The sequence below is a fragment of the Homo sapiens genome, chromosome 6 (genome assembly GCF_000001405.40).
Source record: "Homo sapiens chromosome 6, GRCh38.p14 Primary Assembly".
Taxonomy (NCBI): Eukaryota; Metazoa; Chordata; class Mammalia; order Primates; family Hominidae; genus Homo; species Homo sapiens.
In genome coordinates this window covers 82,957,577-82,972,585 of record NC_000006.12, presented here as the reverse complement: position 1 = coordinate 82,972,585, position 15,009 = coordinate 82,957,577, and the positions used below count along the sequence as shown (strand labels likewise).

At 37.2% G+C, this 15,009-nt stretch overlaps 1 protein-coding gene across 14 annotated transcripts in view; it reads left to right on the top strand.

Moving 5' to 3' along the window:
• Window positions 1–15,009, top strand: part of UBE3D (ubiquitin protein ligase E3D) — a 185,040-nt gene that overhangs the window by 93,256 nt on the left and 76,775 nt on the right. The gene's annotated exons all lie outside the window — the stretch shown is intronic.

Sequence of the window (15,009 nt, the reverse complement as noted above, 5' to 3'; positions counted from 1 at the left end):
TTATTTTTAAGAGCAGACTTAAAATCAACTCTACTAGAGTTACATTGACATGTGACTTCACAAAAGGTCTAAAGGCTTAAACTTGAGGGCTTTTTCCAAAATCAAGGGCTCTTGCACAGGTAGCATGAGATCTTGGTATTTGGATTCTCATCTCTTCCCATGGAGGGAGGGACAGAATTCTTAGTCATTAGGATTTGTCTTCTAATGGGTCAGAGAAATCCACTTATGACTTAGGGTTATGAAATTCAGTCACTAGTAGCTAAGATACCAAGATTGGTCAGGCCTTATTCATGTGAATTGAGTTATACCATTGCCAAGTGCCCTCTTGTGAAAGAACGGTATCTGGGTTTCCAAAGGAAGGGCATCTGAGGATAGACTTGGGAAGAGGTATAAAGGGAAGCCAAGGATACTGAAGATGATGGTACTCTGTGAGGGTAGGAATGGAACTCTGTGGTTGCATATGATGCAAACAACCAGAACCCACCCCGTTCTGAAGGCATGGGCTGAGAGAGCTCTGCTAGATCATCTCTCTCTTTTCTGCTGAAACCAGATGTGGTTTCACCATCTATCTCTGGTCTCACCATCTATTTCAACACAATCACTGCCAACCAATTTGAAGTGAAAAATGAAGAGAACCTATTTGTTATACCAGGTCTAGGACATCATCAAAGAAGAAAGCGTCAAACATTTTGAATACCTCTAATGCAACTCCAAATAAAGCTTCTATAAATAATGCCATTTTATCAATACCAGTAATATCAATATTAATAAATTAAATATATTTCCTGACATGTTTTTTAAAAATTCTTTCTGGCAAAAATAAACTTAAAAAAGACATCAAGAGCTATTTAAAAAAAATAGAGGCCAGGTGTGGTAGCTCATGCCTGTAATCCCAGCACTTTGGGAGGCCAAGACAGGAGGATCACTTGAGGCTAGGAATTCCAGATCAGCCTGGGCAACATAGCAACACCCTGTCTCAATATTTTAAAAAAAAGAAAACATCTTTAATCCTTGCTTTGTACCTTATGCATCCTAAACACTTTGCATTCACACTGGCAAAGGACTTCCACTTTGGGACAGAGTGGGTAATGCTGATTAATGAAAGTGTCAGCTGAGTTTGGCCCCTATGGGACAGGGAATCTAGTAATGCCAAGTGTCAGATTTATTTATGAGAATGTTATTAGAGTGGACCTAATTTATTATGTCTCAACCCACATACTTTGACTGCCACTTACTTAGGAGGGTGATTAGAGGATTAGAAATGCGTTTCTCAGCCTCCTAAGTTTTTAACTGATTTCCTCTGGTAATGTAATAGAACATAGTAAAAATGTGAGCCAAAAGACCTTATTTCTGAAAACTTTTCCTAAATGGTTATATTTATTAATGTGCTAACAAATATTATGATATATAATTAGAAGTTAGTTCAAAATGGAACTGTTTTAATTATTTTGTCAGAAAATAGTAAATTAGAAAAAGAGAATTTTGACTGAAAAGCAGCGATCCTTACTCAGGGGTCCATAAATCTTGAAAACATTATGCTAAGTGAAAGAAGCCAGACCAAAAAGGCCACATGTTGTATGATTCTATTTATATAAAAGATGGTAATGAATGGACTTGGAGAGGAGGGTGATCTGAGAAACACCCAAAATTATATGCAAAATCCTCTTTGTAAAATGAATGTTGTTGAGGAGAGAGAGTCCCTAGTTTTTGTTTTTTGTTTTTTGTTTTTGTTTTTGTTTTTTGTTTTGAGACAGAGTCTTGCTCTGTCACCCAGGCTGGAGTGCAGTGGCGTGACCTTGACTCACTGCAATCTCTGCCTCCCGGGTTCAAGCGATTCTCCTGCCTCAGCCTCCCGAGTAGCTGGGACTACAGATGCCTGCCACCACGCCCGGCTAATTTTTTGTATTTTTAGTAGAGATGGGGTTTCACTGTGTTAGCCAGGATGGTCTCGATCTCCTGACCTCGTGATCTGCCCGCCTCGACCTCCCAAAGTGCTGGGATTACAGGCGTGAGCCACAGCGCCCGGCCCAGAGTCCCTAGTTTTAACTATATTGTCATTGAGGCCTATGACCTTCAAAATGGTTTAAAAATCACTACTTAAAAACCTTTTTAAAAATGAATTTCTGTCCTTTGTCCTCTTTTTGTAAATTCATAGAGGTTCTTTCTGTCAATAAGGTTTTCTGCCCTCTGCCTGTGATTTAAAATTTTTTTTATTAGCAATACAATTTTTTAAAATTATAAAACCCTTATAGATTTGTGTTTGTGGTAGTTTTTTAGAGTTTTTGGCAAGATTTATTTTATTTTTACATATATGCCTGTGATACATCTTGAATTTATTTTTGAAAATGATATGATAGGTTTTTAAATTTATTTTCTTCCAGATGAGTGGTTTTTTGAACTATCACCCTTAATAAATAATCAATTTTTCTGTCCTTAAATTGTAATAGTATATCATTTCTAGTATATTATATCATGTTCTATTATATATAATTATATATAATTATATATATAATAGTATATCATGTTCTATTATATGACTATGAGTAAACACCATAGAAATACGTTACATTTCATTAGGGTCTATTTTTGTATTTTGTGTTTTGTTCCATGGATCTATTTGTCTACTTCTATATTAACACCATTTTGACTTGATTACATTAGTTTTATTATATGTTTTGGTATCTGGAAAGCAAATATGCCTACTGAATTCTTTTTAACATGGTCATTTTCAAACATTTATTCTTGCAAGTAATATTATTTTATCCAGTTCTGATGAAAACCAACCCTTTTGGGATTCTAACTGAAATTACATTAAATTAAAATATAAATTTTGGGACCATTGACACTTTTATGATATTAAGTATATCTTTCCATTTTTTCATGTCTTGTTTTATGTTCTTGAGTAAGGTTATGTAGTCTAATTTCTGTAGCTCTTTGTCTTTTTTGTTAAATTTTCTAAGTTTGTTTTGTTTTGTTTTTAGAGAGGGTCTCACTCTGTCACTCGGTCTGGAGTGCAGTGGGATGATCTTGACTCACTGCAACCTCCACCACCTGGGTTCAAGGGATCCTCCTACCTCAGCCTCCCAAGTAGCTGAGCCCACAGGCATGTGCCACCATGCCAGGCTACTTTTTTGTATTTTTAGTAAAGACGGGATTTCACTATGTTGCCCAGGTTGGTTTCAAACTCCTGAGCTGAAGCAATCCACCCACCTCGGCCTCTCAAAGTGGGATTAGAGTCGTGAGCCACTGCACCTGGCCTCTTTCTAAGTATTTTTATCGTGATGTTCTTATTGTAAAAGAGGAAGGTTTTTCCTTACTATTTTTAGGCTTCACTTCCACCCCACCCCACCCCCACCCCCACCCCTGCCCTGTGTAATAGAGAGATTCTTGCTTTTTACATAAATATCTTGGGCACATTTTCTTAACTCTTGTTGTTAACACAGTCTCTCAGGCTTTCTAAGTAAAACAGTCATATCACCAGGGGAAAAGGGGATTAATTTTAACATCTCCTTTACAAGAAAGCGTTAATCAATGACAGTGACCACTCCTGTCTACTTCCTGATTTCAATTGCGATAATTGTATGTTTTGCCATTTATAATTTGATTTTGAGTATTGCTTACAAACTGATGAGAAAAGGCCTAATAATTGAGGCTACTGATGGCATTCCTGAAGTTGTGCAATGAAGCACCTCTGCAAATGACTCAACAAAATTTGAAAATAAGATAAAATTTTTAAAATGTAATTCACAGAAAGCAAATCCAAACAGCCAACAAATATATGAAAAGAAACTCTAGTTCACTAGAATTAAGCAAATATAAACCAGATATATAGCACAGAATAATTTTACTTCCATCAAACTTTAAAAACCCCAACTGTTAGTTCACTGTTGGCAGGAGTATGGGGCAAAGAGTACTCTGATGACTGGTTGTGAAAATGTGAATTGGCACAGACTTTCCAGAAATATCTATTAAAATTAAAAAATGCATATACACCTCAATCTGATATTACCACTCTTGAGATTCTATTCCAAACAAATCAAAGTACCAGAATGTAAAGAAATGTAAGCAAGGACATTATTGTAATATTGTTCATAGCAGGAAAAGAAAACTGGGAGAAAAGATAACCAAGGTATAGTATTTTAGACATACACACCTTGATGTGTTATATAGCCATTAAAGAGAGTGAATTATTAGTCCCAGAGCAGTTGATTTGAGGGCAGAGAGTGGTCAGTGGATAGTGAGAGATCAGTGATGGGGTGGGGGGCAGGGGAAATAGGGAGAGGTGAGGGAGGTTAAAAGGGGGAGAATGCAGTACAATATGAGATTTGGCAAAGATTTCTTAAACAGGACACAAAAAGTGGTAAGCTTTAAAAATACAAAAACTTGATTACATTAAAATTAAGAACTTTTTAAGCATGTGCTTATCATATGACCCAGCAATTGCATTTTGGGGCCTTTTATCCTGGAGAAATGAAAACTTAATGTTCACCCTAAAACCTGTACACAGATGTTCATAGCAGCTCGTAGCTATTATTTATAATAGCCCCAAACTGAATCAGCCCAAATGTCCTTCAGTAGATGAATGGATAAACAACTGTGATTATATTCCATGGAAATTTACTCAGTTATAAAAAGGAATGAAAGCTAGGTATGGAGTTGAGTAGCCTGTAATTGCACCTATTCTGGAGACTGAGGTGGGAGGATTGCTTGAGGCCAGGAGTTTGAAACTAGCCTTGATAATATAGTGATCCATCTCTTAAATTTTTTTTTTTTAAACTTAGCCTGGTGTAACAGTGCACACCTCTAGAATCAGCTTCTCAGGAGGTTAAGGTGGGAGGATCACTTGAGCCCAGGAATTCAAAACTGCAGTGAGCTATGATCACGCCACTGCACTCCAGCCTAGGTGACAGAGCAGGACCCCATCTCTTTTTAAAAAAGAAAAAAAATATGAACTGTTGATACAATTACTTGGATGAATCCCGAGGGAATTATGGTGAGTTATAAAAAAAGACTACATATTATATGATTCTACTTATGTAACATTCTTGAAATAACAAAATTATAGAGATGAAGAACAGATTAGTGGTTGCCAGGGGGTAGGGAGTGGAGGCGATGGGGAAGGGAGGTGGTTGTGCCTCTAAAGAGTTATCTTAAGAGATGCTCGTAATGGAACTGTTCTGTATGTTGGCTATTCAGTGTTAATGTGGTCACACGAGTCTGCACATGTGAAATAATTGCCTAGAAGTAAATACACATAGACACACACAAATGAATGCATGTTTAAACATGAGGTTTAAAAAAGGTTGGTGAATTATATCAATGTTGATGTAGTTATCCAGAATGTTACCATTAGGGGAAGCAGGGTGAAGGATAGACAGCATCTCTGTATTTCTTACAAATGCATGTGACTCTACAATTATCTCAGAACAAAAAGTGGGAAGAAATGGTTTAAATATTTAAAATGGAAAAAGTGAAGGACAAGGGAGAGCAGATGCCAGCTCGACAGAGTAAATCATGTGGGGCTTGATTTTCCCATTTGAGGCAGGGAATGGAAATAAAAGATTAATAAAATGAAAAAAATGAAAAAAATATTTTTAAGGTGGTGAACTACATAGTATAGAGACCAGTTTGTCTCACATTTTGTTTGCAAGTAAAAATTTTCTAGAATTAATTACAATAGCAACCATAATATGTTTGAGTTTCTGTTGGGAATATTTACTAGTTCTCCTAGCTCACTGTTACATAATTAAATCAGTGCATTCAGCATCCATCTGTCTTGATAAGAAAGAGCTGAATAGATCTATAGGTATCCCTAGAACTGATTTAATTTTTCCACAAATTCTTTTTTTGTTAAATTTAAATATGATATACATACCATAAAATTTGTTCTTTTAAAGGGTACAATTCAGTGGTTTTTTTTTTTTTTTTTTTTTTTTGAGACGGAGTCTCGCTCTGTCGCCCAGGCTGGAGTGCAGTGGCGGGATCTCGGCTCACTGCAAGCTCCGCCTCCCGGGTTCACGCCATTCTCCTGCCTCAGCCTCCCGAGTAGCTGGGACTACAGGCGCCCGCCACTACGCCCGGCTAATTTTTTGTATTTTTAGTAGAGACGGGGTTTCACCGTTTTAGCCGGGATGGTCTCGATCTCCTGACCTCGTGATCCGCCCGCCTCGGCCTCCCAAAGTGCTGGGATTACAGGCGTGAGCCACCGCGCCCGGCCCTCAGTGGTTTTTAAGTATATTCACAAGGTTGTGCCACTATCACTATCTAGTTTCAGAATATTTCCGTCTCCCTAAAATGAAACTCTGCCCACTAGCAATCACTCCCCATTCCTCCTTCCAGCCCCTGACAACCCCTAATCTGCTTTCTGTCTTTATGGATTTGCCTATTCTGAGCATTTTATATAAATGGAATCAAACAATATGTGGCATACAGATGAGGAATGCCTTAAAAGACATACCGATCAGTTGCAATATATGGATCTTATTTAGTCCAAACTCAAACTGTAAAAAAAAATAATGAGGCGGTTGAGGATATTTGAGCACTAACTACAGACCTGATATGAAAGAATTGTTACTTTTTTCAAAGTGTAATAAATTATATTGTGGATATTCTTTTTAAAAGAATCTATCTTTAAAGATACATACTGAATTATTTCCTCATGAAATGAATGATATGTTGTCTGGGATTTCCTCCAAAATAATTCAGAGGGGTTGGGGGCGTGTGGAGATACAAATGAAACAAAGTTGGCCATGTGAGAATGATGGCTTGAAGCTGGGTCTTGGGTACATGGGTTCATTACACTTTTCTCTCTTATTTTTGAATTTGTATTTGAAATTTTCCATAATGAAAAGTTCTTTAAAATCTGAAGAAGTAGCTGGCCTCTTTAGATAGACTTCTAATTATTATGTTCTTAATTATATCACTTCTAATTATGAAGTTTCTGACAGGCTTGTTTGTAGGGTGGATTCTCCTCTTCTTCTTCTTTTTTTTTTTTTTTTTTTTGAGATGGAGTTTCGCTCTTGTTGTCCAGGCTGGAGGACAATGGCGGTATCTCGGCTCACCGCAACCTCTGCCTCCCAAGTTCTAGCGATTCTCCTGCCTCAGTCTCCCGAGTAGCTGGGATTACAGGCATGCGCCACCACACCTGGCTAATTTTTTGTATTTAGTAGAGATGGGGTTTCTCCATGTTGGTCAGGCTGGTCTTGAACTCCCGACCTCAGGTGATCCACTGGCCTCGGCCTCCCAAAGTGCTGGGATTACAGGTGTGAGCCACTGTTCTCTTCTTTAATGAAAGTGTTCCCAGTCTAATTTCTGTGTTCTTAGTGACTGCTGTCTTGCAATGATACAAGCATTTATAAAAGACAACATTTCTTATTTTTTGGCATGAAGTAATACATTTAATTTTGAGACTGCCTTATTGGTATCTTATTTAAATGAGAACCATTTTCCCAATGCTTTCTGATGTGTGGGAGATTTACCTTGACAAACTTACAGTCATATGGGCAAAGTTTGAAAGGCATAGCATTCAGGAATTGTGTACTTAAATTCTCTCAAGATCCCTTTAATTCAAAGAGAATTAAAGACCAATTTTGGCATTTGTAATTTGAAAGGGTCAAATTTTTCTTCTGTCATTTTCAAAGAAAAATTTTCTTATGGATACTGTTCATTACTTAATGAACTTTATTTGGACAAACAGTAGTTTGTGCATTTTTTCAGGGTCTATTTTTATTTAATTAATGCTTTTGAAATATTCTAAGTATAATGCAGTCAATATGGCTCATCAGAACAGACATTCCAATATATTTAGATGTTTCAAAATGTTGTATTCCTAAGAATGGCTTATAAGAATTTTAAAATTTTGGTTATGTATTAAATAGGTGAATGTTTATAAAAATTCTATCACTAAGTTGTTGCAATTTGCTTGTTTTGCTAGTTTGTGAGCTTAAATTGATGGACATATCATTGGCGTAGCTTTGAAAGTGAGCATCTAAAATTTACAGGTATAAGCAACATAATATTTCAATATCTTTAATAGGCTCTTTGCTTTCTTAGGTTCTTCTAGGGTTGAAGAGTTCAAATTATCTACTAAAATATGAGAAACGAGGTTTAAGTTAAATATTTTCATCTTGAGCTCTCTCATACATACCATTTTTTCTTCTCTACACAATAATATTTTGGATTCCTTTTAAATATTTTAATTTTGGTAGAGTTGTTATATCATTTCTATTGTCATTTTAACCTGTGTTACATTAAACGACCTCCATGTTTCCTAGAAGACTATATCACCTTTCTATTTACTCAGGTTCTTTTCTTGATATTGATTGGTTTGATTCATTCTCAATTTCACCATTTATGTTAGAAGTGATAGAAAGTGACTTTTTTCCCTTTCTCAATGCCTCTTTGAAAATAGATAGGCCGTAGTTGCTTCTCTAGGGAATTTTGACAAGGCAAAAGTTTAGAAATAAGGATGGTGTGTCCTCTACTTGTATTTTGGTCTGTTAGACTAAGGTCATCTGGCTGACAGTTCTGGTCTCCTAGGAAAGCTTTTCCTCTCTCAGTACTTTAAAAATCATAGAAGTAAGTTTCAATTGACGTTTAGTTCATTGTTCCTTTTGAAGTATCTTTCTTATTGACTTATAGTGGATGATTACTGATTTAGGTCCAATAGTCTGTGATGTCTTTATAGGAAATACCAGAAATGTTCCAGATTCTGCCCTATGGTTCTTAAAATGCTTGATCAACAGACATTTGTATTGATATTTATGATGGTTCATACTGAATGTCAACTCAGTTGGGTTGAAGGATGAAAAATGTTGATCCTGGGTGTGTCTGTGAGGGTGTGTCTGTGAAGGAGATTAACATTTGAGTCAGAAGGCTGGGAAAGGCAGACCCACCCTTAATCTGGGTGGTCATCATCTAATCAACTGCCAGCCCAGCCAGGATATAAAGCAGGCAGAAAAACATGAAAAGGCTAAATTGACTTAGCCTCCCAGCCTACCTGCTTCTCCCATGCTAGATGCTTCCTGTTCTCGAACATTGAACTCCAAGTTCTTCGGCTTTGGGACTGGGGCTGGTTTCCTTGCTCCTCAGCTTGCAAACAGCCTATTGTGGGACCTTATGATTGTGTGAGTTAACACTCCTTAATAAACTTCCCTATATATCTATCTGTCTTATTAGTTCTGTTTCTCTAGAGAACCAAGACTAATATAATATGTGAGTCATGGGCAGAGTTGCAAATGACACCTCTGGCTTTATCAACATATGTCCTAAATTCCACATAATGAGTTTGGTGATTGTTTTAGGATATACTGTATGAATTCAGTATGCCAAGCCATTTCTTCCTCTTTCCATTTTGTTCTCTTTTATTTCTTTCTCCAAAAAAAAAAAAAAAAAAAGATGAAAACTTTACCTGAAGTTTTAAGGGAAAGTTACCTGTAGTTCTTACTCTCCTAAACAACTAATTTCATTTTTATTTATTACTTTCTTTGTTCATATGTATGAATGCTTCCTGTGATTAAAGTAATATTTTATGTGATTGAAATTACAGAGAAAGTTTATAAATCATAACATTAGAAATAAGTCCTGAGACTCATGAAAAACGTACTGTGGGAATAGAAAGAGCAGGATGAACATTAGAAATGTGAGCAATATTAGACCTAGCTAGTTTGTCTAATTTCAAAAATAAGATTGCTCAAATTATTTTAAGATGAAGGGTTTTGAGATATCTAGAATTTACCCTATCATTTGCCTTTGGGGTTTTTAATCTCTTTGGGTGGAATTAAATAATGCCTAATATACTTTTGCCTTGTTCATGGAATATTAAAAAGAATGGGATTTAGATGGTAAAGATCATGCTTGAGATTTTCCTATCATTTATTGGCCCTGTGATCAAGATAACACTCTTTTCCTTTATGCGCTTCAATGGGAATAAAAATTGTTAAATCACAGAATATTTTAAGGATTAATTTTAAAATGCCAATGTTGGATTTACATACCATGCAAATGTCTGTAATTACATAGAGACATGGGTAACTAAAATGATAACTAATTGTATCTTTTTTGTGACTGTGGTTATCATTACTGTAACAATGTCCTTTTGTATAAATTTTGATAGTTTGATACATTGGACAGGTTGTATACCTGACTCCAAGGTCCTGTGAGGAAATTAGGCTCCAGAGTGCTTGTCCATGATCACTCACTGATGAGTGACAAGGCGGTGCCAATGTATTTTTATTTCTATTTGAGTGTCCATTTTTGATAGGTCATACCATAGCCATTTAGCAGCATGTTGAAACTTTTAAGTAGCATTTAAAATTTCCTTTGTCTGAACCAGAAATCACATCAACAGCATAACATTACTTGTTTTTGATTATAAAAATAACACTTGAAAAATAAAAGTATAAAGAAGAAAATGTAAAAACCAGATTATTATTTTCCTGTAGTGGAAACAACTGTGAATGTATTGCCCCCTAATCTTTTTTTCTCATCACATGGTTATTTTCACTTACTCTAACATGAATATTTTTCATTGTCTATCTTACTACCTTTCCTAGTCAAGTTTTAAAGTAATACAGACACACACACACACACACACGTATAAAAAATAAATTAGCATCTTTTTTGTTTTTTTTTTTGTTTTATTGTTGCCCAGGCTGGAGAGCAATGGCATGATCTCGTCTCACCACACCCTCTGCCTCCTGGATTCCAGTAATTCTCCTGCCTCAGCCTCCCGAGTAGCTGGGATTACAGGCATGCATCACCATGCCTGGCTAATTTTTTGTATTTTAGTAGAGACAGGGTTTCTCCATATTGATCAGGCTGGTCTCGAACTCCCGACCTCAGGTGATCCTCCCACCAAATAACTTCTTAAAAAAAGATCAAAATACTCAACTATATTTTGCAAGCCAAAGAGTTATCTTGCAGAAGAAGTAGGCATTAGCAGATTCAGTTATTAAATTCCTACTTATGGTTTGCTTGGAGAGGATAATATATACAGTGTCCTCAGCAGTCAGTGTGGTGTGGTGCGAATAGCACAGACTTTGCATTCGGGCTGACCTGACTGAATCCTGGTCCTACTTCTTGCTAACTGCATGATGTTGGACAATCACTTAACTTCTCTGCCTTTGGTTTCCTATTTTTAAAATGGGATGAATGATGCCTACCATTCAGGGCTGCTTTAGGATTAGAGACAACAAATATAACTAAAGTGCCTGACCTGGTGCCTGGATGTGTTAGGCATAGGATAAGTGATAGTCAGAAAAAACCTAAGGCCTTAGGCTTACAAGACTGAAGTAATTTTGTAAAAATTAAAGGCGACCATGTTATAGCCATAATTAACTAAGTAATGTGTCTTCAAAATATTTATTTGCATAATTTACCATTTTCCCTTTCTCTTGCAAATATATTACTGCCCAAAGAGGAATGGAAAATGATGAAAAAGTGACTGTCTTGAGATGCTTTCTACCGTGGTAGGCCATGGTCCAGGCTACAGTGTTTACCTCATTTCGAGAAGGTCCAAAGCATCATGGGCCTGGAATAGGTCTTAGAGATTCACTGATGAGTTCCCAAGGAACATTCACAATCCAGGGCAAGAGATTCAATTCAGAAAAAGCAAAAACCTTTTCACCACACTTTTTAAAAAAATTCAGAATGAAAGTAGCTTCAGTGAACCCTATTGTGGGTGGCAGGAGTTGGGGTCAGTGGTATAAATTCTGAAAACTTGAGTTGTTTTATTGAACATACAAATGTCAGTGAGGAAATTGAAAAGGTATTTATTTTAGCCAGTAAGAGGTTAATACCTGACTGTGTCTGCAGAAAAGCAACATTGAGGCAACTTTTAAATCTTTATTTCCAAAGAAGATGAGAAAGTTAGAGGAAATCACTCATGTCTGATCTAGAAAGAATTAGAGACATAGACGTATCCCAAATAAGAATACTAGTAAGGCATTTGTTTCCTTTATAAGAACTTGCCTAATACCATATTTATATCACTTACAAATGCCTTACTAGTATGTAAGTGATATAAGTATGGTATTAGGCAAGTTCTTATAAAGGAAACAGGACAATATCTCTAAGAAATGATATGTAAGTGGGTCTCACAGGATGAATAGAAATTCAGCAGCAAGGATAACTGCCTTTCAGGCCCAGTTAACTGTATATGTAAGACAATAGTGGATTATGGAGAGCATGAGGAAGGGGTGTGGGTGGTGAGTGAGCTTAGAGCCACTGCACTAGCATTAAGTTTGAATTATGGAAAAGACAGCAACATTTTAATTTTCATTCCAGAGAAATGTTGAAAATGTTATGTAATGAGTAAAAGCAAAAAGAATAGCAGAACCAGTCAATCAATGTAAGATAATTTTTTAAACACAGAAAAGACACTTAAATGTGCCTTTGCCTATGAAGGAGTGAAGGACATGCCATCCCAAAATGTGTCAGATTGGTATATTGATTATTTAGAGGTGAAAACTTTGGAGAAATTGGAGTCTCATGAGGCTGTGTGGACAGGATGCCTTCCTGAGCTAGGAGCTCCTGCATACAGAAGAGACACTGAATGAAATTGCCAAGATGATGGTGCATGTCCCCAAGGAGGAACAACTCTTTTCTTCCCGGGACTGCAAGCGTATTTCCCAGAGGATTAACTATTTCCCGTCATGAAGGCTAGATGAAGACTTCCTGGAGCTGCCTTTCTTCCACTAACAGGACCCTGGGAGGCCTGTAGGAGCACCCTGTTTGGGACTGTGAGGTGCTTGAAGGGGTGTGGACTGGCATCCAGCTGTCACTAAATACAACTGGTGTGTAAAAGGCAGGCCTTACATTCCTTAGGAGCAGAGCCAATCCTTTTTTTTTTTTTTTTTTTTTTTTTTTTGGAGGTCTCACTGAGATAGGAATTTGGATCACTGGATTCAAAGAAACAGAGCCAATTCTTAAGATCACTTGGTGCCTTAAAGACACGCATTCCAAAGTGGAATGTGGTTGAAGGAAGTGGGCCAGGTGGTTGAAGAAAGCTATGTGGGAGCTCAACAAATCAAGGGCTTATTATGACGCTGCAAATAGTCTCCTTAGCATCTCAGCTCTTCTGCAAGGAAGAGCTTGGGTGTTAGACCTCAGAGGCTGTAGGGTCCTTGGGTTACAGAGCAGGGGAGAATGAAGTTCTGTGACCCAGGGGTGGAGAGTACACTCTAGGTTTGCGGGCTGGTGGTACTACCAGAGGAAAGCCAAGCTGCTTCTGTTGTGAGCGGATCAGCAAAGAGCCTCAGGCTGAAGGGAAAAGTGCAGAGAGGAAGATATTTTACAAATCAGGTCAGTTTAGGCCAAGACTTATGCTCTACAGATTTTGAGGGGGGTGGGGGAACTTTTTAAAAACAGTTAGGGGTCTTGACAAGTTGTATGTAAAGATTAAAATTTTCTATTTTTCTAAAAAAAAAAAAATTAGAGGACATGGTTTGTCTTTTCCTGCATGCAGCAAGCGATCAAGATTCCTCTGGGAGGGGCACCCTCTCCATACCAAGGTGAGAAAACAGCGCTTATCACCCAAGACTTGGAATTGGAGACTGCAGTGGACCCAAATAAACATATTTACCTTATCTTCCATCTGTTTTACAGACGCCCACACCATATATCTCCAGTGACTCCCCTAGAAAATTTACTTCCTCTAGCCAGATTTTCCTTGTCCTGTCATTTTCCTCATTTTGGCACTCTGTGCCAAAAAATGTATAAAAGCATCTTGCTTTGGCCACTTCCTTGGACTTCACTTACTTGTAAAGATCCCCATGTACATGTAAAACTAATAAAATTTGTAGACTTTTCTCTTGTTAATCTGCCTGGTGTCAGTTTGGCTCCCAGATCCAGCTGAAGAGCCTACTAAGAGCTAAAAGGGGGTTGGAGGTGATCTATTCTCCCCTACACAAAAACTGGACCAGTGTCTTATTCCAGTCCAACTAGTTGGCCAGTACTTCAACGGAGAGTGAACTCCATCACCCCACATCAGAAATCTGTCAGCATAATAAGTAACCTGATTGATAAAACATCTAAACCATTTGCCATGACTTGTTCTGTAAATTATTTAAAATCCATTATGTCCCAAACCACTGATTCTCTCCAAGTTTCCATTATTCACCACTGATTTGGTTAAAGATTGCTTTTCAGAGAGAAGTTTATAGAAGTGGCAAAAAATACATGTATATTTATATAAACCAATATAAATATTATATACATATATCTTTAAAATTAGTGATAAGAGACACTTTGGTCGCAGATCAGAGAGGAAATAAGTAAACAGAAAAGTTGAAAACCTAAAATGCATGCTATTCTTATTATTTTATTTTCTCATAATTATTTTTTGATGTTTCCCTTTAAGCACTAGATGAGGAGCCAGGAAGCCAGGATTCTAGCCCCAGCCATATCACTTTCTACACATTGCCTCATCTCAGACAGATCCCTTTACTTCTCTAGCCCTTGGTTTCCTGATCTCTAAAATGAAAGGATTTTCAAATAGGTTCCGCAGGATATAGCAGAGATGCTTCAAGGGCCACTCTGGAAGATGAAGGGAGGCCTCCTGCCAACCTTTCCCTTCAGACAGAGCAGCTTCGCTTTTATTTGTATTATAAGTTGGGGCTGTTACAAGATTTTTTTTTTAACAAAAGGATTCTGTCACTTTTTAAAAGTTTGAAAATCACTGAGCTAAATGTTCCATAAGGGCCTATCCAGCTCAGAAAAACATTTTCATAGCTGTAGAATGGGGATAACAATAGTTCCTTCTCTTAGGTTTCTGAGGGGTAAACGAGATTACATGTAGAACAGGGCATAGAATGTAGGAAGCATTCAGTGTGTTAGCCGTTAGTCTCTGCCACCCCTTCCCCCAGCAGGTCCCACAGAACTAAGACTGCATTTCCTGTGACTGTATACTTCAGAGTATGAAATGATGGCCTGAAAAATTGCCTGATCCATCTGCTTTATATCAACAACACCATAAAAACGTCTTGGACATGTTCTCTGTGAATTTTTAAT